The sequence below is a fragment of the Homo sapiens genome, chromosome 7 (genome assembly GCF_000001405.40).
Source record: "Homo sapiens chromosome 7, GRCh38.p14 Primary Assembly".
NCBI classification, from domain to species: Eukaryota; Metazoa; Chordata; class Mammalia; order Primates; family Hominidae; genus Homo; species Homo sapiens.
In genome coordinates, this window is record NC_000007.14 from 138,740,774 (window position 1) to 138,766,060 (window position 25,287).

Consider the following 25,287-nt stretch of genomic DNA (forward strand, 5'->3'; position numbering starts at 1 on the left):
GGGGATGAGAATGTTGAGTTGATTTTTTTTTAAGAACTGCATCTGTGGAAGGGCCCAAGGAATGAGCATTTGAAATGATGAGGAACAGGCCTGGTACGGTGGCTCATGCTTGTAATCCCAGCACTTTGGGAGGCTGAGGTGGGTGAATCACTTGAGGTCAGGAGTTCAAGACCAGCCTGGCCAACAATGGTGAAACCCCATCTCTACTAAAAATACAAAAATTAGTTGGGCGTGGTGCCACATGACTGTAATCCCAGCTACTCAGGAGGCTGTGGCAGAAGAATTACTTGAAACCAGGAGGCGGAGGTTGCAGTGAGCCAAGATTGCACCACTGCACTCCAGCCTGGGCAACAGAGCAAGACTCCGTCTACAAAAAATAAATTAAATTAAATTAAAAAATAATGAAATGTGAAGAGCAGACAGCAGACAGTCTTGACAGGCTGCCCAGAAATACACTCCCTCCCTTCTGCAGTGAGGTGCTGAGGGCCTTAGGTAGCAGCTGAGGGAATCGGGAAGCCTGGCCTACTGTCCTGGCCCTCAATGTGCAGTGGCAGCAGCTGACCGTGACTCGCTTGCCCAGACGTGACCCCCATCCTAATGGCATGACTCAGTGCAAATGGCTGGATTTCCATAGCAGAGAAGTGTTTGTGTGTTCATAAAGGGAAAAGTCACCCCTGACAGGAAGGAACTGGCCTGGCACCCATAGCTAAGCCATCGTGTCTCCTGCTGAGCATAAGCAACTTCATAGAACAGCAACATCAGGCAAGGCCACCTGGCGACTATGATAGAGTGAGAAAAAACAAGATCATTCCACAATCATACCTCGATACAGGCAAAAAGAAGGACACGGTCCAAACCACAAAAATGACCCAACATCCCCGCCTCCTAACAAAGGCTAAATCCTCTAAGCCCTTTCTAATACCCTCTTAATAGAGATGGTTTTCCCAATGATGCACCATTTCCCTTGTTGAGTCAATACGCCCAACTCCAGTGACTACAGGAATGTTTTCAGTGGTCTTTCAACCATCAAGGAAGCAGGTCCAAGACCCAGGTCGCAGCTGGTGACCAGAATCAGCTCACTGTGTACTTCAGCTGTCGTTTTCTTCTGCCACAGTGATAATGAGGTTCTGCCTTATACTCCTGACCCTTCACATATGGCTGAGCATTGCTCCAATTCAAGACCAAAGAGTCTTGAATTGGGGAAGAAGACATTTGCAGGTGCATAAGAGAACAGCATTCATACCCATGTCTGCAGAGTGGTAACAAGACAGTTAATTCGGGCCTTTCACAATCATACTCTATGGGAAATGGAATTTCATGTTGGTAGGCTGGCGAAATTATGCAGATTGAACAAGTTTCAAAACTCATCTCGGCCGGGCACGGTGGCTCACACCTGTAATCCCATCACTTTGGGAGGCCGAGGCAGGTGGATCACCTGAGGTCAGGAGTTCAAGACCAGCCTGGCCAACATGGTGAAACCCCGTCTCTACTAAAAATATAAAAATTCACTGGGTGTAGTGGCACACGCCTGTAATCCCAGCTACTTGGGAGGCTGAGGCAGGAGAATCGCTAGAACCCGGGAGGCAGACGTTGCAGTGAGCCAAAATCGCACCATTGCACTCCAGCTTGGGCCACAGAACGAGACTCCACCTCAAAATAAAAAATAAATAAATAAAAAAATAAAACTCATCTCTATACTTATGAGTTTAAATCTAAAGAGCAGAACTAAGTGTAAGAATGAATGTGTTTGTTTGTTTGTTTGTTTGTTTGAGACGGGGTCTTGCTCTATTGCCAAGGCTGGGGTGCAACAGTGCCATCACGGTTCATTGCAGCCTCAACCTCCCAGGCTCAAATGATCTTCCTGTCTCAGCCTCCCAAGTAGCTGGAAGCACAGGCATGTGCCACTGCCCAGCTAATTTTTTTTTTTTTTTTCATTTTATGTAGAGACAGGGTCTCCCTATATTGCCCAGGCTGGTCTTGAATTCCTGGGCTCAAGCAATCCTCCCACTTTGGCCTCCCAAAGTTCTGGGATCACAGGTGTGAGCCACCGTGCTCAACCTAATTTGTTTTTAAATTTATGAAAGTTTTGTTCTTTTGGGCATCTCTTTAGAATACTAATTGCAAAGCAAAAAAAAAAAAAAATCACAGATATAGCTGTCTGTATGTCATTCCAGAAAACGTTTTATCCTTCATTTTTCTATATTTTTGTTTTTCTATATTTAAGGTGGGGAATCCCATCTCTACTTCAGGGAACTTAGGCCTAGCAGAGAAACAAGAAGAGACTGCGTTAGAATCTCCTTGCCCCACACTAAATATTTCTACAGTCTCTTGGAGCCTCTCTGTGCCAACATCAAGCCCTTTGAATGCCCTCAGGAAAGCTTTGTCAAAAGAAACCCAGGATTGGGCCGGGCGTGTGGCTCATGCCTGTAATCCTAGCACTTTGGGAGGCTGAGGCAGGTGGATCAATTCAGGCCAGGAGTTTGAGACCAGCCTGGCCAACATGGTGAAACCCCACCTCTCCTAAAAATACAAAACTTAGCTGGGTGTGGTGGTGTGTGCCTGTAGTCCCAGCTACTCAGGAGGCTGAGGCAGGAGAATCGCTTGAACCCGGGAGGTGGAGGTTGCAGTGAGCTGAGATTGTGCCACTGTACTCTAGCCTGGGTGACAGAGCAAGACTCCATCTCAAAAAAAAAAAAAGAAAAAGAAAAAGAAAAAAAATAAATAAACCCAGGATTGAATCTTTTCTAACTGAAAAACTCTTGGATGAAATTGATTGTTCATTCTGTCCCCCATTTATGACGTTCACCACAGATTTTGGTGAGCCAGTAAGACCCGTGAAGTCCCTTCCTTGGGAGAGGAAGAATGGGAAAAGAGATTGTGAACATGTTTACCTAGCTCAGTCTTCACTTTGGTCCTCTTTTCTCATTTGTTCAAAGGAAAGTTCCAGAATGAGACAGGGAAATCTTAAGCTGACCCAAAGGAGATGGGCAGAGACAGATGTTAGGAAACGTCACCATTGATATGTAGGTTTTACAAATTAGCCCTCACGCTACTGTGGGAATCTCAGGTACGTGATGCACGTAGCCTAAGATCACCCCCAAAATCAAGAGGCTGTCGCAATTTCTATTTGTTCACTTCACAGTCCCCTCTCCTCCAGAGTCCCCTGTTCTCCCCCAGTTCATTAAATGGACCTACCTCTCAAACTCTAAAATCTTTCTCCCCATAAAAGTCTCCATTCCTAAAAGGTTATGTTTCCATTCTGAAGTCTGCTTGTCTGATTAACTGCATAAAATCACTGTAGAATGCATAGGGGAAGGGTGGACTGTGGGGATTTAGAGAGCTTCCAGGTCTCTCTATTCTACAGTACCCACATATCCTTACCAGGTGTCCCCTGCCCCCAACTCTGTCAGCCACAGGACAAATACAGGGAGACAGCATTACAAAACCAACCATTTCCTCATCTGCTTTTTTTTTTTTTTTTTCAGTTGGAGTCTTGCTCTGTTGCCCAGGCTGGAGTGCAATGGTGTGATCTCGGCTCGCTGCAACCTCCACCTCCTGGATTCAAGCAGTTCTCGTGCCTTGGCCTCCTTAGTAGCTGGGATTACAGGCATGTGCCACCATGCCCAGCTAATTTTTGTATTTTTAGCAGAGATGGGGTTTCACCATGTTGGCCAGGCTGGTCTCGAACTCCTGAACTCAAGTGATCCTCCCGCCTCGGCCTCCCAAAGTGTTGAGATTACAGGCGTAAGCCACCGTGCCCAGCCTCTCATTTGCTTTTGAGACAGCATCTTGCTGTGTTGCCCAGGCTGGAGTGCAATGGTGTGATTGTAGCTCATGCAGCTTTGACCTCCTTGGCCCAAGCCATCCTCCTGCCTCAGCCTCCCAAGTAGCTAGGACTAAAGGCGTGCCAACACACTTGGCTATTTTTTCTTTTTCTTTTTTTTTTGGAGATGGAGTCTCACTCTGTCACCCAGGCTGGAGTGCAGTGGCGCAATCTCAGCTCACTGCAACCTCCGCCTCCCAGGCTCAAGCAATTCTCCTGCCTCAGCCTCCCGAGTAGCTGAGATTCCAGGCACCTGCCACCACATCTGGCTAATTTTTGTATTTTTAGTGGAGACCAGGTTTCACCATGTCGGCCAGGCTGGTCTCGAACTCCTAACCTCAGGTGATCCACCTGCCTCAGCCTCCCAGAGCACTGGGATTACAGGCATGAGCCACTGAGCCTGGCCTATTTGAATTTTCAAGTGCACCTCTGAGTAGACCTAGGTGTAGACTCCCCCAACCATGAAAACAGTCACTGAGGCCACCTGGATGGCCAGCGACTACACCATCTCTGTCTGTCAACTCACTTCCATGTGCCGTTTCTGAACATGGGTTGGACACTCCAAGAAGAGCCAAAGATGTTCAAGGACTTGGAGAAGCAGTCATTGTAGATCAAACCCGTGTAGATGGAGAAGATGCCCATAAGTAGGATCAGATAGCGCCCGTGGAAGAAGGTGTTCCAAATCTGGCCTCAGAGAGACAGAGAGGATGATTGTCAGTGGGCTCTGAAGCAGACCCCAGAGGGAAGCGTTCTACAGGATATCTCCAGCATCACCGGTGCAGGCACCCTTGGGGGAGCCACATGACCACAGCAGACATCAATCATCCAGACAGGAAGAGCACACACATCATGGTTTTTGGAACATATAGGTGCACCAAAAAGTCCTAGGCTGGTATTTGTTATCATGAAACAAAAACCATATAGGCAAAAATTAGCTGGGCGTGGTGGTGCATGCCTGTAATCCCAGCTACTTGGGAGGCCGAGGCAGGAGAATCACTTGAACCTGGGAGTTGGAGGCTGCAGTGAGCCAAGATTGCACCACTGCGCTCCAGCCTGTGTCTCAAAAAAAAAAAAAGGCCGGGTGTGATGGCTCACACCTGTAATCCCAACACTTTGGGAGGCCAACATGGGCAGATCACCTGGGGTCAGGAGTTCGAGACCAGCCTGACCAACATGGTGAAACCCCGTCTCTACTAAAATTAGCCAGATGTGGTGGTATGCACGTTAGTCGCAGTTACTCAGGAGGCTGAGGCAGGAGAATCACTTGAACCCGGGAGGCGGAGGTTGCAGTGAGCTGAGATTGCCCCACTGCCCTCCGGCCTGGGTGACAGAGCAAGACTCTGTCTCAAAAAAAAAAAAAAAAAAAATATATATATATATATAAAATATATATTATAAATATAAATAATATATATATTTATAACATAATATATATTTATAATATATATTATATATATATGCATGCCTCAGATTCTTCCATTGCACCTGCATTAGAAAATAAACTGAAGTGCAAGCAAGGCCTCATCTGCTTAGGAAGGGACTTGAAAGCAGGTGGCTGTTGTCTCAGGTGCTTCCAGGAAATAAGCACTGAACTGGCCTCCCATGGCTGCTATATTTATGACAAGTCAGATATATACTCATTTTGCGTCTTGTCATTGTAAAGTTGATTCCCTGTCTGACTATGTCTGCTGAGAAGAATAAAGTGCTTTCTCATAATACTGAATAATGTGTGTCAATCATTCCAAGAAGTGCTGACGTGTAACTCTGAAACTCAAAATGTTTACCATACAAAATCATATCTTTAAGCTTGGCATGGAAAACTATATTGGTCACAGGTTGATTCTGCTCACTAACCTCGACATCGCTGACCTAGCTGTAATTAATTCAACCTGTAATAAAACATTGCAGATATTTTTTTTTTTTTTAAGATGGAGTCCCTCTCTGTCACCCAGGCTGGAGTAAAGTGGCGCAATCTCAGCTCACTGCAACCTCCACCTCCCGGGTTCAAGTAATTCTCCAGCCTCAGCCTCCCGAGTAGCTGGGACTACAGGTGCCCACCACCATGCCTGGCTAATTTTTGTATTTTTAGTAGAGACAGGGTTTCACCATGTTGGCCACGTTGGCCTCGAACCCCTGATCTCAAATGACCCACCCACCATGGCCTCCCAAAGTGGTGGGGTTACAGGTGTGAGCCACTGTGCCTGGCCAGCCAATAAACTTTGAACCAATGCACCCTCCTGAGTTGTCTCAGCCTTCACAGCACTCTGCAAAGGTGGAGAAACTTAAGAGTGGGGAAACGATGTTCAGGGTTTCTCAGTGTTCAGAAGAACACGGGTCCCAGGCTGCTTCTGCCATGAACAAATACTCATGATATTTTAAGTAAAAACACTACAAATAGTATGCATTACTTGATGCCAATTTTTGAAAAATTGGTGGATAAGCACAAACAAATTGGAAAGATATCCAAAAGCATTCATGGTGATTTTTCTCTCGGTCATTAGATGGTTGCATTTTTCTAATTTTTACAGTGATTATGTATTGCTTTCATAATCAGGCAAAAACATCAGAGTTAGAAAAAATATATAATGAAAAAGAAAAATCGATGCCTTATCAAGTCATGAACAAAAACCCAAAAATGCTGAAAGGAACGGCACCAAACCATCCAAAGGAATTACCTTTGGCCAGAAGTTTTAGGTTAATTTGGCTCTTTTTTACTTTCCTTCTCTCCTTTATTTTTCATAAAAATGTGTTATTTCTATGGTGAAAACCACATACAGATTTTCATATTCTGAAAATGAATCAGGGCAAGACGGTCAATGGACACTCACCTCATTGTCTGTCTTCTGGGAGAGCAAGCGTCTCTCATTCAGAATCATCCAAAGTGCAGCCAGGAGCATCACGGTTCCATGACCACAGTCTCCAAACATCACAGCGAACAGGAAGGGGAAAGTGATGATGGTGTAGGGGGCTGCGGAGGGGAGACACACAACGCCTGAGGCCTCAGCACAGCCTCGGGGCCCCCACCTCAGATTCCCTGCCACAGCTCCACGATTTGCATGCGGGTTTCCTTAAGCCTTTCTGGTTGTCTTTTCTCACCATCCCTACCCTGACACATGCTTAGCTGCCACATAAATGAGTGCATCTGTTCCTAGGCATTCTGTTTTTCAATTTTTTTTGAAAGTGGGTCTCGCTCTGTCACCCAGGCTGGAGTGCAGTGGCACAATCATGGCTCACTGCAACCTCCACCTCCTGGGCTCAAGTGATCCTCCCACCTCAGCCTCTTGAGTAGCTGGAACTACAGATGTGTGCCACCATGCCTAACTACTTTTTAAAATTTTCTATAGAGATGAGGTCTCGCTATATTGCCCGGGCTGGTCTCGAACTCCTGGTTTCAAGCAATCCTCCCACCTCGGCCTCCCAAAGTGTTGGGATTATGGGCATGAGCCACTGTGCCCAGCCTATGAGTAGGCATTCTTATTCCCCACTTTACAGATGTGCTGAGGCTTACAGAAGCTAAGTGACTTGTCAAAAATCACAAAGTCAAAAAAAAAAAAATCACAAAGTTTGATGGAACACAAGATCAGCTTTCTCTCTCTAGGTGCTTTCTATACTCTTCTCCACACCCATCTTTTGTCTGTTTCCCCACCATTCACATGCACCACACACCACCAGCAGTTTGCTCGCAGGGACCCTCAACCCAGGAGGCCCCTGCATTACAGGCCACAAATTCGACTGGGCCTCAGGCTGGAGAAGAACAATCACCATGCACTCCTTGGATAAAGGGTATCTGGTCTATCCTTTCATTTTATTTTATTTTATCTATTTTTTGAGACAGGATCTCGCTCTGTCACCAAGGCTGGAGTGCAGTGGTGCAGTCTCAGCTCACTGCAATCTCCGCCTCCTGGATTCAAGCGATTCTCCTGCCTCTGCCTCCTGAGTAGCTGGGATTACAGCTGCCTGCCACCATGCCCTACTAATTTTTGTATTTTTAGTAGAAACAGGGTTTTGCCATGTTGGTCAAGCTGGTCTCGAACTCCTGACCTCAAGCGATCCACCTCCTCCGCCTCCCAAAGTGCTGGGATTACAGGCGTGAGCCACCAAACCCAGCCTACACCTTTATTTTATTAACCAAGGTAGCAAGATTCCACAGCTTAGGACACCAAGAATCGAGTCTTCTAAGTTCTGTGTACTGGTGTCTTTCCCACACAATAACCACAGGACTGTGAAGATGCCAAGATATGGCCCTCATTGTATTGGTGAAGGAAATGAACACTGACTTCGGCTGCCTGATGAGGTTGCAGTTTAAGGGTGCACAGGTGAAGACAAAGAACAATTCTTTCACCAATCGGCATTTATAGACGACACCACAGGGTATTACGAAACCAAGGAGGATTTTAGGAATCCTACTACTTGCCCCTACTATCCTACTTATTCCTCTGATTCCCACAGCTACTACCCTAGCCCCAAGCCTCACAGTTTTAACAAGTTCACCACCTCGGTCACCTCAGGGGTCCATCTTACCAGTTTTCACTTTCAAGCTACCCAGTCGTGCAGTTCATCAGATCTTTACCTGGGTTTATCTCCCGGTAGCTGCCGACACCATAGGCATCAACAATATTCTGGAAGCCAGCTGTGAATTTATTGGTCCTGTTAAATGTGGGAGGGGCTGTTTTAGATTGCACTGTGGTCATGATGGGGGCCATGGAGGAGCCACTTAGTTCCTGGAAAAAAAAAAAAAAGCGACAAAGATGTAAGGAGAAGAGTCTTGGGCTGGGTGTCAGCACAAAGGTCACAGTCCCAGCTCCTGCCGTCCCTCACTGAGCGAACTTGGGGCAATCTCTTGATCTCTCTGAGACTCACGACCTTATGTGTAGAGAGTTAATACCTTCCCAATACTTATCCAATTCATCTCATGGGAGGGCTGTCAAGAGAATTGAGTCCCTCTGGAGTCTCTGACAATCTCCCGTCTCCTACTGCTGTAAATGCGAATGTTATGACTCCTGGCCCTCTATGCTTTCCTCCTCTCCACTTTCTCAATTCATCCCCCTCTTCCAAATGGCTCTGGCCCTTCCCCAATTTTTTCCTAATTGCCTGCTTAGACTTTCAAACTCCAATGTGTCACCAACCCCACAAAATCCAGGAGTCTAATCCTGAATTCATCAACTCTCCACAAAGCCAGGTCCCCTCCACAAACTCCCTGCCCCTTCAGCAGAGCCTCCATTCTCCCAGATTCCTAGAATCTTGGAATCATGGATTTGTCCTTCTCTGGTTTCAGTCAGTCGATCACCCAGCAAAGCTTGCTAGTTCTCCTTTCGGAATCTTTCCTCCGATTCCCACAGCTATCACCCTAGCTCCAAGCCTCAGCATCTCTGCCAGCCTCTCCCCTCTCCGTTTATCTAACACCTAGATTGCTCAAGCACTCTTTTAATAAAACAAACAAAAAGCACTATTTTACTCATGTTACTCTCCTGCTTTAAAATCTTCAAAGGCTGCCTATCGCCTAAAGAATGAAATCAAAACTCTTTAGTCTTGTGATCAAGACTACTTAACAATATGCCTTAATCCTCCATTCACACCTTCACCCTTCCCCACGCTTCCCCATGGAAACTGGCCATGTCTACACTAGCCACCTCTCTTCTCCACTTGCTCAAGTCTTTTTTCTTTTTCTTTTTTTTTCTTCCTGAGACAGGAAGTCCCAGGCTGGAGTGCAGTAACATGATCATAGCTCACTACAGCCTCAAACTTCTGGGCTCAAGTGATCCTCCCGCCACAGCCTCCTGAGTAGCTGGGACTACAGCCATACAGTGCTATGTTACACAGGCTGGTCTTGAACTCCTAGGCTCAAATGATCCTCCCACCTCAGCCTCCCAAAGTGCTGGTATTACAGGCGTGAGCCACTGCATCCATTCTACCTACTCGAGTCTTAACAATTCCAAGTGCTCCCTGTCCAGGAACCGTACAGCCACCGCACACCCGACAGCACGTGCCACATGCACACCCACTGGGATCTGACACCAGCTGGACGAGTGCTCACGGTCCCAGCTTCAATCCTCCTCTGCTTTCAGGAGGCCGCACCTCCCTTCACCTGCTCCCCGGCCAGCCTCCCAGCGCTCTGCGCATGCATCACTTCCTCCAGGACGCACCCCCGCCCTGCTCAGCCTGGTTGAAATGCTTTTTAAGTGCCCCATTTAGGTGGTTTTTGGACCATGATGTGGGGGCATCGACTGTTTTGAGGAACAGTTTCTGTATTCAAACCCTGCCTCCTGGCTATAGGACTGTAGTCAGGTTACTTCTACTTTCTGTGCCTCCATTTCTTTATCTGTACGAAGGGGATAAAGAAAGCTCCCACCTTCTAACCCATTCCTACTGCAAGGCCTTTACCTTCAGATTCCTCCGCCTGAAAAACCCTTCCTCCCGCCCCCAACCTTCCCATGCTATCAATGCCGCCTGCTCAGAGAGGGTTTCTTCAGATAACACGAGATCTGCCGTCACCAGATATGCCACCCAGCTAGTTCCCCATCGGCCAAACCAGCTGCATGCCACCCACTCCTCAACCTAATGGCTTCACTCCTCCCACCCCGTGAAATTATTCAAACAAGCTAATCACATCCTTCTGCAAGAACCAAAGGTCACCTCACCCTCGTTCACTGCAGAGCCTGCCTCCCACCGGCCCTGCTGCTTCACTCTGCTCCCAAACGCAGTTCCCGAGGGCAAGCCCTGTGTGGCCCGCATGGCGTGCGGTGTCCTTCTCCCCTGGGCTCTGAAGACGAGTGACTAAAAACAGCTGTCAAGCCCGTCTGTCCAGTGTCAGGGTAATGTGTTCGGCCATCTTGTACTATTTAGGGCAGGAGGGGGTCCCTCCTTCAATGGGGTGAATAACGGTGATCAGAACAAGCCCCCACTCTCCATCCTGCCCCTCGCCGTCCCCTGCTTGGTTTCCTGCCCACCACTCATCACTGCCTGAAATCTCATTAGTCACGGACATGCCTCCGTGTCCCTTTCTAGAATGTCTATCAAAGCAGGGTCTTGGCCTGCCAGTGTGTAAGCCCTAGATCCGTTCCTAGTACACAGGGAATGTCTAAGGAATGAATGGAGGGAGCGGTGAGAACTCAACGAGGACAGAGTGCTTAGCCATCTCGGACACACCGCAAGCGATCTACATATTTTGGCTCTTATTATAGATGCTTGGTTATTCATCTTTCTAGCTAGACTATAACCTCCATGAGGTAACAGGTGGTATCTACAGTCTAGCAGAGTGGAGCTGGGCATGGTGGCGCGTGCCTGTAGTCCTAGCCACTTGGGAGGCTGAGATGGGAGGATCACCTGAGCCCAGGAGTTTGAGGCTGTAGGGCAGTATGCCCATGCCTGTGAACAGCCCTGCACTCCAGCCTGGGTGTCATAGCGAGGTCCCCATCTTTAATAAGAAAAAAAAGACAAAATCCCCCCAAAACGATAGTCTAGCTGAGAGACTGGCACATTAATGCTCAGTATGGCCGGGTGTGATGTCTCACACCTGTAATGTCAGCACTTTGGGAGGTTGAGGCAGGCGAATCACCTGAGGTCAGGAGTTTAAGAGCAGCCCAGCCAACATGGTGAAACCCCGTCTCTACTAAAAATACAAAAATTTGCTGGACGTGGTAGGGCGCACCTGTAATCCCAGCTACTCGGGAGGCTGAGGCAGGAGAATCACTTGAACCCGGGAGGCAGAGGTTGCAGTGAGCCGAGACTGTGCCACTGCACAACAGCCTGGGCTACAGAGCGAGATTCTATTTTTTTTTTTTTTTTAAAAAAACCTCAATACGTACTCACAAAAGGTCAAAAAATGGTGAACAACTGTCAAACACTGAAAAGACAAAGGAATTTCTTTTATGTCCTCGAGTGGGGTTGATAACTGAAGACACAAAGATGAAGGAAGCAATCCTACCACCAAGTCACTTGAGTTCATGTGGCCCATGAGGCCAACACCCTCTGAGAGCCCAGCAGAGGGGCTGACTCATCGGACCCCTCCTGGCTCCACCTGCCACGCACCATGCCTTGCTCCAGTGCCCTCTTGATACGTGTGGCATCTGCCACCGGGAACCAGATCTCGGCGATGACACACTGCTGGGTGACGTCGATGTTGCACATGTTCAGGATGTGGTAGACAGCTTTCATCTTCTGCACCTTGATGAGCCAGGAGTGCCAGTTGGCAGCGGCTTCCTGCAGCAGGCGCTGGCGGTGAGACTCTGTTTGTGTTATGACCTATACAAAAAACAACACACAGGAAAACAGAGAACCTTCACAGAGCTGTTTGACAAGGTGCCAAAAATGGAGTGTCACAGGCCACAGCAGCTTCCTCTGCTCTGGCAGGCTCCTTTGACCTGTGGCTGTCACCTGGCCTTGAACTCTCCTGAGCAGTTTATCTCCCCCGCTAGAGGCTAAAACCCTTAGGCAGAGATTGTATCTTCCTTTTCTTCTAAATTCCTCATTGTCCTATTGTTATGGGTTGAATTGTCCACATAAAAGAGTCCTGAACTCTGATACCTGTGAATATGGCCTTTTTGGAAAGAGGGTCTTTGCAGATGGAATCAGGTTAAGAAGAGGTCATACTGGATTTGAATGGGCTCTAATCCCATATGACCACTGTCCTGATAAGAAACGTAGACACAGAGGCACACAGGGAAGAATACCACGTGACAACAGAGGCAGAGAAGTAGGCACTTGCAAGCCAAGGAATGCGGAGGACGGCCCGCAGCACCAGAGCTGGGGAGAGGCAAGGAGGGGGCTCCCTTCAGGTCTTCCGAGGGAGCACGGCCCTGCTGACGCCTTGATTTCAGACCTCTGGCCTCCAGAACCATGACAGAATAAATCTTTATTGTCTTATGCCACCCAGTTTGCTGTAATTTGTTACAGCAACCCTAAGAGATTACTACATCTACCACAACCCTTTACATACATAATCCCTCCAATAAATGACAAGTGAATGAATGAAGGAATGAATGGACAATTGGGCCCACACAGAATTTATTTAATGGAATCATTTTTATGTTTTGATGATACAACAAACAGGGTAATCTTTTTCAGCACACATGGCCTCTGTAAGAGACACACTGTAAGACAGACATGCTGGCTCTAAGATTAACGAGAGCCATGAGGCCACCGAAGCATCTCACAAGCCCAATACTACCTGTCACTTTGCAATATAATGCCCCCTGGCCTGGGGATTTCCAGGAGACAAGAGCACCTCAGCACAGAGGTGACTTTCAGAAACCTCAAAGAGCATAGCCCGAATTATATGCCTCAGCATCAGACAGTGTCTAAGATTCATCTTTGGCAGGGACTGAGCCAAAGGAGAAAGCTGCCCCTGCAGAAGCTGCTCAGCTGGGATCATCTGAAGCCCTCGACACAGCAGCAACCCGTCATACTAAATGTAAGCACACATCTAGCAGAATTTATTTTCCATTCTCCTCATGACGTTTTCATAAAATCAAGCATGGAGAATTGGGGGGAAAGGACTTCAATGGCTTTGGGGAAACAGTGTTCCTGACAAGTGACAAAGAAGTAATGGAGAGGATTAAAAAATTAAACACAGGCCAGGCGCAGTGGCTCACGCCTGTAATCCCAGCACTTTGGGAGGATGAGGTGGGTGGATCACCTGAGGTCGGGAGTTCGAGACCAGCCTGACCGACATGGAGAAACCCCATCTCTACTAAAAATACAAAATTAGCCAGGCATGGTGGCGCATGCCTGTAATCCCAGCTACTCGGAAGGCTGAGGCAGGAGAATCACTTGAACCCGGGAGGCGGAGGTTGCGGTGAGCCGAGATTGCGCCACTGCACTCCAGCCTGGGCAACAAGAGCAAAACTCCATCTCAAAAAAAAAAAAAAAAAAATTAAACACAGGTTTTCTGGAAAAGTAAAGTTGTCTGCTAGCCTAAGGGTTTTGAAAGAGGCACATATCTAATTTCTTAACATACTTGTCCAGAATCTAAAACTGAGTTGACTTCTACCACAGCCACATGCAGCTACTAAATTTTATGTATTTTATTTCCTTTTATTTTATTTTGAGATGGAGTCTCGCTTTGTTGCCCAGGCTGGAGTGCAGTGGCGCGATCTCGGCTCCCTGAAACCTTTGCCTCTCAGGTTCAAACGATTCTCCTGCCTCAGCCTCCCGAGTAGCTGAGACTAGACTACAGGTGACTGCCACCACGCCTGACTAGTGTTTGTATTTTTAGTAGAGATGGGGTTTCACCAGTTTGGTCAGGCTGGTCTTGAACTCCTGACCTCAAGTGATCCACCCACCTCAGCTTCCCAAAGTGCTGGGATTATAGGCATGAGCCACCGCACCCAGCCCTAAAATTTAAATTGAATTAAAATTAAAAATACAAACTAAATGACTTAGTGGCACTAGCCATGTTTCAAGGGCTCAATAGCCACATGTGGCTCGTGACTACAGTGTTGGACAGCACAGGACACATGAACCTTCTATCATAACCGAAAGTTCTATCGAACTCTAGCACTGATGAGAGTCTGCCAGCGAGGGAGGCCCAGCTGTTTTCAGTGATTACTTTCAAAGCTGCTGTGATTGAAGAAAGATTTCTGATCATAAGTGTGTTGAGTGACCCTGGATGGTGACAGACTTTACAAAGAAAATGAGTTTGGGATGAATGAATGTTCACATGGTGAAACTAGACTCACTGTTTTTACAGAATTAACCCATCAGCTTAAACAACCAGGCAATTCAGTGGGAAAATAATCAGTCAAACTGGTTGTTCAACTTAATTGGCTGGGTGGTTGTATCATAGATTCCGTCTAGGCCGAGGCTGGCAATAAAGGGTGCCTTTTATCAGATCGGGGTGGCCACCTGAAGGCTGACTAGGGCTGTGGTCAAATCTGACCCTGGGCAAAGCATTCTTAAGACACAGCTTCGTTCCCTCTAGCTTATCGAACAGTTTCCCAATTGTGAAATCTTCCACAGCCACAACCAGAAAGGCATAGCCAGCATTCCAGCCAGCCTCCCAGCAAGGGCCCTGGGGGGCAGGGCTTGTATGAAAACAGCAGAGGCAGCCCTCCTGCAGCTGCCATCAGACCATGCGCCCAAACCCCTCACTCACGGTGATTAAATCTTCCAGCCTCACATTGACGCTCTCCAACATCTCTCTGCGCTCCACCGCAGGCTCTGGGCAAGGGTAGACAGTGGCTCGAAACCTGTGTTTAATATATTCCAAAGGAAACAGGTGAGTTCTTGCTGCAAAGCATTCTGCATCCCCTTTTCTGCTAAGACATCGTTTGCTGACTTTAGTTAGATGGCCAGCCTATCCTAGAATAACTGCGTCTTTGGCCACTGGAAAAGGAGTCCCAGTCATAAGGGTTCCCAGTACGTCACTTGTGCTGTGAATTGAGGCTGCAGTTCTGTTATATGAATGAGCTTCATTCAAACCATAAAACCTGTGAGTTGCTGGGTAAATAAGACTGCAAGCTGGGCTTGCCCCTTCCTAAGAATCTATTAATGTATTAATATCCTCTGCACTGAGTCATTTCTGCTTCTATGGAGCTACATGTAACACGATTCTGTAAAATCCAAAACAAGTTAGCCATGCAGTTGGATTACTCTGGAGCAGCTGATGAAAAGTCTCAGATGGAATAGACTGAAATGGGGAACATGTCCACTTTTAGTTACCCTCACATTTTGCATATTCAAGTTCTCCCTATTCATATTCTTACAACTATTAAAAATCAGTTGGGGCTGACTTTTATGTGAGAAAGTTATTCTAAAGCCTTACTGACCTCTAGAAGCCACAGTCATGTGCATTTGGCATTGCACATCTCTTTATCTAATCCTGGCCCAAATCACTGAAGAAAGAGCCATTCACTCCCTCTTACCCATCACAGATCTTCTTGATTTTCTGCCTGAGCTGCTCTCCTTGGTAAAATATGATGAATATGTTCTTCTGAATTTCTTCTTTCTGGAAAATCAGAATAAGTTAAAAAAAAAGGGGGGGGTTTCTTTCTGGTTAAAACATAATAGAGAGAAATGTAAAGTCCTGTTTTTAGGCTTACACAATTCATACATTTAAAACTGGGAAACTGTAACTTTCCTAGTTCATCTAAGTTCATAGCTCACAGTTGAGAGCAAGGCCATCCAGGACCTCACAGAGGCTAATGCAGCCTTAAGGTGACAGGCTCCCTGTTCCCGATGCTGGTTGGACCACAGCCAGACCTTATATTCAGCTCTAAGCCCCACATTTAAGAGATATGATAATAAACAAGAAACCATTCAGAAGAGAATATTGCAAGGCTTAAAACGAAGACAGCTGGCTGATAAACTGGCTCACCAGAGTTAATTAACACACAACACCGACATTTTGGGGATGAGTAGGTGTTTTATATTTAACAAAGGTAAAGCCATGCCCAATTTTTGACTCATACATACAGTTGCTCAGATTTTTTGACTCACAGTTGCTTGTGTGCCATAAGACTGCTGCTTAAATCACACTTGTCAAGTCCAAGTTGGACAATTCACAAGAAAGGAAGATGTGTTCCACAAGCAGACATGCAAATGTTTAACTCTTACTGTAAGCAAAGAAATATGAGCTGAAACAATGCATTCTTCCAATCTTATTTAGTTTGAGGGGGTAAAGGTAAAATGACAAAACCCAGACCGGGTGCAGTAGCTCACACCTGTAATCCCAGCACTTTGGGAGGCTAAGGCGGGTGGATGGCTTGAGCCCAGGGGTTCAAGACCAGCCTGGGCAACATGGTAAAACCCCATCTCTACAAAAAATACAAGAATTAGCTGAGTGTGGTGGTGCTCACCTGTGGTCCCAGCTACCAGGAAGGCTGAGGTGGGAGGATTGTTTGAGCCCAGGAAGTCGAGGCTGCAGTGAGTCATGATCATACTACTGCACTCCAGCCTGGGTGGCAGAGTGAGACCCTGTCTCAAAAAAAAACCCCAAAAAACAAAAACAAAAACTATTGTTGGAAAAGTTATGACAAATCCAATAGACTCATCACATACTACTCGAGGCACTGGAATCAGAAAAGTCACTGAAAGGCCATTTGTCGGGACCTATCGGGTGTCATTAAAATGCCCGCACCCTTTAAGCCAGCAATCCTATTTTTCTTGAACTTGTTTATTATGAAAGTAATTCAAAAGCAAATAAAAATCCACATGCATAAAGATGCTCATCATGGTGTCTACATTCTGGAGAAAAATTAGAAATAAAGTGTCCAAAATAGATAGTCAACGTCACGTCAACTCAGTGGACACAATAGATATTCCTTAAAAATACTATCAAAATGAATCCTGTCTTTGGCATTTCCTTACGGGAGCAAGTGGCGGTGTTTTAGGATTTTCAGAGCTGCTGCGTTACATTATTTCCAAAAGGTTTCTCTACCCGTGGAGTCTACCCTGGTCCTTTTCTGAGTCTCTTAAATTTTCTTTTCTCCTGATCCACCAGAATCAGGAATCTGCTCTAATCTCATGACTTCCCTTTGGTGACCTTCGGCGTCCACGCTCATCTTTTTCCAGATGCTTTTACTTTCTCTCCCACTATGACTGTCATATGTCAAAACAGGATTATAAAAAGTGATGATTTAATGTCAAATTTAAAAATGATCTTTACGAAGGATGCACAGTAATATGGGGAGGGATCTCATATTAGGTAAAACAAAGAAAAGAAAAAAATTATTTCCATGTATACTACAATCATATAAAATTATACCTGTCTACGGCTATAGAGAGAAATAGTACAAGAGGCAAAATACAAATGAAGACATTAGAGTGATGGGGTTTCTCATTTTTTTCATAATCTTTCTTATTTTAAATTTCACTTATTTTAAAGTTGTTTTTCATCAAAATGAATTTTGTTGTTTTTTCATTAAAATTAATTTTTTTAGCCTCTAATCTGAAAAAGATTATAGACGCTCAGAAATAAGCCTAGCTTCTGGGAATTAAAGGGTAAGTGGATTAAATACAAACTGGAAGGTGAGACAGCAACATCCGACAGAATTCACAGCAACAACTGTATGGCACTAAGGGCTGAGCCCCCTTGAAGCCTTGTTGTTTGAAGTGTGGGATCTATTGGCAAATACATCATCAGCATTCTCTGGGAGTTGTAAGAACTGCGGAATCTCAGGCCCCACTCAGACCCACTGACTCAGAATTTTTTTTTTTTTTTTTTTTTTTTTTTTTTTGAGGGAGTCTTGCTCTGTCACCCAGGCTGGAGTGCAGTGGCACAATCTCAGCTCACTGCAACCTCCGCCTCTTGGGTACCAGTGATTCTCCTGCCTCAGCCTCGCAAGTAGCTGGCACTACAGGTGTGCGCCACCACTCCTGGCTAATTTTTTTATTTTTAGTAGAGACAGAGTTTCACCATGTTGGCCAGGATGGTCTCAAATTCCTGACCTCAGGTGATCCGCCCACCTCGGCCTCCCAAAGTGCTGGGATTACAGGCATGAGCCACCATGCCCAGCCTATTTTTTTTTTTTTTTTTTTTTTTTTGAGATAGGGTCTCACTCTGTTCCCTAGGCTGGAGTGCAGTGGTGTGATCATAGCTCACTGCAGCCTTGACCTCCTGGGCTCAAGTTGTCCTCCCACCTCAGCCTCCTAAGTAGCTGGGACTACCGGTGTGTGCCACCACACTTGGTTAACTTTTTTTTGTAGAGATGTTTTCTTGCTATGTTGCCCAGGCTGGTCTCAATCCCCTGACCTCAAACGATCCTCCCACCTTGGGCTCCCAAAGCGCTGAGATTACAGGCATAAGCCACCATGCCTGGCCTGGAATTTGCATTTTAACAAGATCCCCGGGTGACCTCTATGCTCGCGTGCACATTGAAGCTTGAGAAGCTGACCTCAATCAGTTCTCAGTTCTTTAAGACACAGCTGCCGCCTAGGATAGTACTAGTATAACTAAGTTCTAGAGAAAAGTATAGCTATGTCTCTGGGAAGAATAAACCAGTTATGAGGTGTTGACAAGAATCAGTCCTTGAACTGACCTTTCAAATATATATTTTTAAAAAGGAACAAAGTAAAAGGGAAGGAAAAAAAGGAGAAAAAAAGGAAATAGATATTAGTCTCATCAAACTAAAGATCCCCCATGTTTTGGGAGAACGAAGCGCTTCTGCTGAGGGCTATGGGAAGTCTCAGAGAAAGTTTTTGCAGCCCAAGGTTCCCACCGTCACAGGATCCTCCAGAGGGGCGTCCATCTCACTGAACTTCAAGTACACGTTTCCTCGGCAGATTCGCCACAGTAACCGCTCAAAGGAAGCCATCCTCTCCCTGTTGATCACACCGGCTATGAACCTAGGCAGCCAGAAGGGAAGACATTCCTTAAGGCACAGGGATTGGGATGCAGAGAGAAGGCCCTGTAGGACGTGAAGACACACCATGAAAGGAAGGGCCATTCACTCTGTGAGCAGGAGGGACCCCGACACAGCTCTACCGACATGAGTCCCAAGGCCACCCCGCATCCAGCCCTGACTTGCCCCAAGTCCCTTTGACCTTCTGTTTTCTTTGGTATCTTGAAATATCCTTAATCATTCCAATACTATATCGTCACTAATTGCAATTAAGAATATGATAGAATGGCCAGGCGCCGTGGCTCACACCTGTAATCCCAGCACTTTGGGAGGCTGAGGCGGGCGGATCACCTGAGGTCAGGAGTTCGAGACCAGCCTGGCCAACATGCTGAAACCCCATCTCTACTAAAAATACAAAATTAGCCACACCTGGTGGCGTGCACCTATAGTCCCAGCTACTCAGGAGGCTGAGGTAGGAAAATCACTTGAACCTGGGAGGCGGAGGTTGCAGTGAGCCAAGAATGTGCCATTGCACTCCAGCCTGGGCAGAGAAGGGTGAAACTCTGTCTCAAAAAAAAAAAAAAAAAAAAGAATATGATAGACCATTCATCATGCATTGTAGCTAATGATAGCAAATATTCAACAGTAGTCTCTATGCATTTTTCCAAAAATATTTTAATACTAAGAGGGAAAAATACATTGATGTCTATATATATCTGTTTTTTCCATTATCCAAGCATGTAGATAACTGCTGACCCAAACTTCTCATGTTAGCCAGTGACTTTCACTGGCTTATTACTTTAAATGTTCATTGATCCTGTATTACTTTCTGATCAAATATTTCCAATAAATATTTTTATTTTCATTTCAAATTCAATGCCTAGTGCCTCAAATATCAGGCCCTCAAATATTTATTGAATAAAAAATCATAAATCCCAAACTCACAATTTTCAGAAATGCTTTAAAATGCCTCAATTTCACTTAGGCACTGAACAAAATCCTACCATTTTGAATCACCACATTATTTTCATGGCTACGACACATCATATCACTGCTTCTTGGAAATAACTTGATTGCATAACTATCCCATTTCTTTTTTTTATTAAAATTTTTTTTTTTGTAGACACAGAGTCTTGCTATGTTGCTCAGGCTGATCTCAAACTCCTGGCCTCAAGTGATCCTCCTGCCTCAGCTTCCCAAAGTGCTGGGATTATAGGCATAAGCCACCACATCTGACCCCCATTTCTAATTACATTTAAAAATGTATCCCGGGCAACACAGTGAGGCCTTGTCTCTACTAAAAAATTTTTTAAAAATTAGCCTGGCATTGTGCCTGTGGTCCAGCTACTCGCGAGGCAGAGGTAGGAAGATCACTTGAGCCTGAGAGGTCAAGGCTGCAGTGAGCTATGATTGCACCTCTGCACTCCAGCCTGGGCAACAGAGTGAGAGCCCGTGTCAAAAAAAAACACACAAATTCAGGCCAGGTGCGGTGGATCACACCTGTAATCCCAACACTTTGGGAGGCCAAGGCAGGCGGATCACGAGGTCAGGAGATCGAGACCATCCTGCCTAACACGGTGAAACCCCGTCTCTACCAAAAACACAAAAAAATTAGCCGGGTGTGGTGGCAGACGCCTGTAGTCCCAGCTACTCGGCTGAGGCAGGAGAATGGCGTGAACCTGGGAGGCGGAGTTTGCAGTAAGTCGAGATCAGGCCACTGCACTCCAGCCTGGACGACAGAGCAAGACTCTGTTTCAAAAAAAAAAAAAATTCAAACTCCAAATGCATTTTATTATCAAAGTAATATTTTATTTTATTTTCTTGAGCTGGAGTCTTGCTCTGTCGCCCAGGCTAGAGTGCAGTGGCACGATCTTGGCTCACTGCAACCTCTACCTCCAGGGTTCAAGCGATTCTCCTGCCTCAACTTCCTAAGTAACTGGTATTACAGGCACGTGCGACCATGCCTGACTAATTTTGTATTTTTAGTAGAGATTGGGGTTTCACTATGTTGCCCAGGCTGGTTTCAAACTCCTGACCTCAAGTGATCCACCCACCTCAGCCTCCCAAAGTACTGGGATTACAGGTGTGAGCCACCACGCCCGGCTCCCAAAATAGTATTTTAAAGAGAAAGGAAAAACATAAGTCCCCATAGCCTTGTTCCAACGCCAGGGAAGAGTTGTGATAACCCATCTGAACAATGATCCCCACAGCTTCCAATGGGGGAGCAATATAAACATTGCAGTCTTCAGGCTCAAGGAGGTCAGCATCGCCACTAACAAGAAGCTGACACCACTTCCGACTCCACCAACCTAGTAAGTTACATATGGGTCTATCGCTTGGCAGAGGCTTTGCATCCATGGGAAACAGTCCCCATTCCAATGGCTATTTGTTCACCCGTTCATTCACTCACTCAGAAATCACTCGCCAGGACCAGGGACCCATCTACACACAAGAATTACACTAACCCCAACTTTCCGGTCATATATGCAGGCACTGCTTTCAACTCCAGGAGGCCAGAAGTGTCCTCAGTAAAGAAATCATCAGCTAAATTGGTTTCCGTCTGAAAGTCAAAGCACTATGATTTTCATTTAAATATATTTAGGGAAACTCAAAAGGCACCTACACCTCAAGATTTTCTCTGGTTTTAGTGAAGCTTTAATTTTCCACAAAAAGTTAACAGAAGTCAGAAAACAGAGTGCTCCTGGCCAGATCAAAAAGCTTCCCTGGTCTTTTCCTACCAAAACCCTAAAACTTCTCAAACCAACTGCTGTGCTTGGTTCTGACTTCTCTTTCTGCCTGAGCCATTTTCAGCACATACATTTTACTGAGCACCATAATATTTTTCCCTTCAATCCAACCAGCACTACAATTATTCCACCCAAAATACTCCCCCGCCCTCACCAATGGCCTAGCCATGGAACAGAAACAGAGTGATTTACTCAGATCCCAGGCCAGCCAGTTTCCAAAATGGAAATTTGAGGTTCTGAGGAACGGGCCCTTTAGTAACTCATCCCCACGTGACCACCTCAAAGAAGTCTTGGGTTTTCTTCAGGAGGTATTTCAGTTCTGTCAGTTCTAGGAAGCTTTGTTTCAAGGCCTGCTGGTTCTGGTTGGCTTCCTGTAACTCTCCTTCCAGTTTTTCTAGAACAGTCTATGCAGGAAGGAAAAAGAAGGTAAGCCAACAGAAAGTGCTATGACATTCCTGAAATACATTACCCACAACAGATGACTAAAAAAAATCAAAGGAATCAGCACATAACATGATTGCAGACCCTAATACACATACACACAGACACACACAGACACACACAGACACACACACACACACACACACACACGTGCATGCTCTCTTAAGAGTTCCATCACCAAACGAGAGGATTAGGAAGTACTTGGAGGAGTGGATGGCCACTTCATGGAGAAGTTAAGACATTTTGGCAAATCATGCCTCCTCTCGTTTAAAACACTAGGCCAGGCTGGGTGCGGTGGCTCATGCCTGTAATCCCAGCACTTTGGGAGGCCGAGATGTGCAGATCACTTGAGGTCAAGCGTTCAAGACCAGCCTGGTTAATGTGGTGAAACCCCATCTCTACTAAAAATAGAAAAATTAGCCAGGAATGGTGGCACACACCTGTAATCCCAGCTACCCAGGAGGCCGAGGCAGGAGAGTTATTTGAACCCGGGAGGCAGAAGCTGTGGTGAGCCGAGATCGTGCCACTGCACTCTAGCCTGGGCGACAGAGCAAGACTCCATTTCAAAAAAATAAATAAATAACAATAAAAATAACTTCAGAAACATTAAACAATATGGAGTCTTAAAATAGAAAATGATGGGCCAGGCACGGTGGCTCATCCTGTAATCCCAGCACTTTGGGAGGCTGAGGCAAGTGGATCACTTGAAGTCAGGAGTTCAAGACCAGCCTGGCCAACATGGTGAAACCCTGTTTCTACTAAAAATACAGAAATTAGCCGGGCAAAACTCTGGAGGCTGAGGCAGGAGATTCGCTTGAATCCGGGAGGCAGAGGTTACAGTGAGCAGAGGTCGCACCACTGCACTCCCACCTGGGAGACAAAGCTTTTTTTCAGACTCTGTCTCAAAAAAAAAATATATATATATATATATGTATATATATACACACACACACGTATGTATATATGTATATGTATATAATATATATGAAATTGATGAAATAGCAAGTTGCAGAAGAATAAACAATATAGTTCCATTTAGAGAAAATTTTTTAACATGTAAAGCTATACCATATGTTATTTAGAAAAATAAATATGTAATAAAACTATGAAAAAATAAAGAAAAATACAGAAGTTAGGATAATGATGATCTCGAAGGGAAGAGGGGAAAGGAGATGGAGGAGGGGTGAGGAGGGGCACACAGGTTTTTTGAATGCCCCTGTGGGTACCGTTATCTTACACAGGGCGACAGACACATGGTGTGTGCTGATCCTTACTTTTTATACCTTACATGTTTTATAAAAATTCTACTAATGCAATTTAATGTTTAACAAAAACAATAACAAATCCACACTGAAACAGACAGGAGTGAAACTATAGAACAAAGATAAAACTTTAAAGGCTATCAGGGAAAAAAAGGACATATATCCACAAAGGGGTGATAATTGAACCAGTAGCAAATATTATGAGAAAAATTTAGTGAATATGTGCCTTGAAGTGTTAAGTGTAACTGTCATCTGTAGCTTGCACACCAATCAGTAGTGGGGAAGGGTTGGCAGGTATTACAGAAAGACAGGAAAGGGAAGGGAAGTAAAAAACAAAAGGAATAATAACTGAAAAAGCCAGTGAATCAGAAATCACAATAAACGGAAATGGATTAAGGTCACCTATTAAAGAAGAGATTATCATGCTAGTTTTTAATCCATCTAAAAGACACTGTTAACAGAGTTTTTGTTTTTGTTTTTGTTTTTAAGACAAAGTCTCACTCTGTCGCCCAGGCTGGAGTGCAGTGGCATGATCTTGGCTCACTGCAAACTCCACCTCTCGGGTTCAAGTGATTCTCTTGCCTCAGCCTCCCAAGTAGCTGGGATTACAGGCGTGTGCCACCAGGCCCGGCTAATTTTTTTGTATTTTTAGTAGAGATGGGGTTTCACCATGTTGGCCAGGCTAGTCTCAAACTCCTGACCTCAAGTGATCCACCCACCTCGGCCTCCCAAAGTGCTGGGATTACAGCCGTGAGCCACTGCGCCTGGCACAAAGAGATTTTTTTTAAACAATAAAAAATGATAATCCTGTAAATGTTAGCTCTCCCTGAAATGCTTAGTATTAGACAAAATTGAATTACTATGGAAAATTTCAAACACACACAAGCAGCGTGAATCCTATCCGCCCATCATCCAGCTTCAGTTCCACTCCATTACCTCCCGTCTCAGAGAAAGCCATTACCCTGAATTTTGAACACTGAATATAATGACACAAAGTTGGGGGGAAAAGTAAATCTTCATTTCCCAATCATTTCCTCTATCCACTTAAGGATGCCATAAAAATAATGCTGCTATTACTATACACAATGGATATATAATTATGTAAAAGTATAGCTGCATGAGAATAAAGCCTGAAAACAAGGAAAAGCCAGGGCAGTTTCTGAGGGGATGGTGGTTTTTTCCCTCCCCCCTGAATTAGTATTTCCTCTAGGACTGTTATAAAAGCCTCTTTAGAAACTCGACAAGGCAGGGGCCCAGAGCCATTGGTGTACTCTTGCCAAAGGATTCAACTCTCTAGCAATGTTGGGGGAACACAGCTAACTGCAGGATTAGTCAAATCAATCAATCAACAAATCAATTCCAGTGAGCAATGAATGGTAAAAGATATTACTCTCCTACTTTTATGCTGGTGGTTTTTGTTTTTGTTTTTGTTTTTGTTTTTGTTTTTGAGAGAAGGTCTCACTCTGTTGCCCAGGCTAGGGTGCAGTGGTGTGAACACAGCTTACCACAGCCTCCACCTTCTGGTAGCCACTCTCCTGCCTTAGCCTCCCAAGTAGCTGGGACCACAGGTGCACACCACCACACCCAGCTGATTATTTTTATTTTCTTGTAGAGACAGAGTCTCATTATGTTGGGCAGACTGGTCTCAAACCCCTGAGCTCAAGCAATCCTCCTGCCTTGGCCTCCCAAAGTGCTGGGATTACAGGCATGAGCCACCATGGCCAGCCCTGGTGCTG

At 45.6% G+C, this 25,287-nt stretch overlaps 1 protein-coding gene across 3 annotated transcripts in view, besides 2 other annotated features; it reads right to left on the minus strand.

Moving 5' to 3' along the window:
* Nucleotides 1-25,287, minus strand: part of ATP6V0A4 (ATPase H+ transporting V0 subunit a4) — a 91,903-nt gene that overhangs the window by 34,480 nt on the left and 32,136 nt on the right. For all 3 annotated transcript variants that reach the window (NM_130840.3, NM_020632.3, NM_130841.3), the window contains 9 exons: nucleotides 22,127-22,252; nucleotides 21,567-21,661; nucleotides 18,979-19,105; nucleotides 15,685-15,767; nucleotides 14,916-15,009; nucleotides 11,852-12,064; nucleotides 8,394-8,544; nucleotides 6,652-6,791; nucleotides 4,350-4,507 (listed from right to left, as the gene is read on the minus strand). In NM_130840.3, coding sequence (NP_570855.2) covers nucleotides 4,350-4,507; nucleotides 6,652-6,791; nucleotides 8,394-8,544; nucleotides 11,852-12,064; nucleotides 14,916-15,009; nucleotides 15,685-15,767; nucleotides 18,979-19,105; nucleotides 21,567-21,661; nucleotides 22,127-22,252 — 1,187 coding nt within the window. The remainder of the gene's footprint in view (nucleotides 1-4,349; nucleotides 4,508-6,651; nucleotides 6,792-8,393; nucleotides 8,545-11,851; nucleotides 12,065-14,915; nucleotides 15,010-15,684; nucleotides 15,768-18,978; nucleotides 19,106-21,566; nucleotides 21,662-22,126; nucleotides 22,253-25,287) is intronic.
* Nucleotides 3,709-3,880: a silencer, noted in NCBI's record as "fragment chr7:138429227-138429398 (GRCh37/hg19 assembly coordinates)". NCBI's record gives its function as "represses an EF-1alpha promoter that drives an FKBP-Casp9 reporter gene in an ReSE screen in HepG2 liver carcinoma cells and phorbol 12-myristate 13-acetate-treated (for megakaryocytic differentiation) K562 erythroleukemia cells {active_cell/tissue: HepG2 | K562(+PMA)}" and the evidence as "EXISTENCE:reporter gene assay evidence [ECO:0000049][PMID:32094911]".
* Nucleotides 9,388-10,190: an enhancer, noted in NCBI's record as "H3K4me1 hESC enhancer chr7:138434906-138435708 (GRCh37/hg19 assembly coordinates)". NCBI's record gives its function as "activates a minimal SCP1, AML or CMV promoter by ChIP-STARR-seq in primed H9 embryonic stem cells {active_cell/tissue: H9 hESC(primed)}" and the evidence as "EXISTENCE:reporter gene assay evidence [ECO:0000049][PMID:30033119]".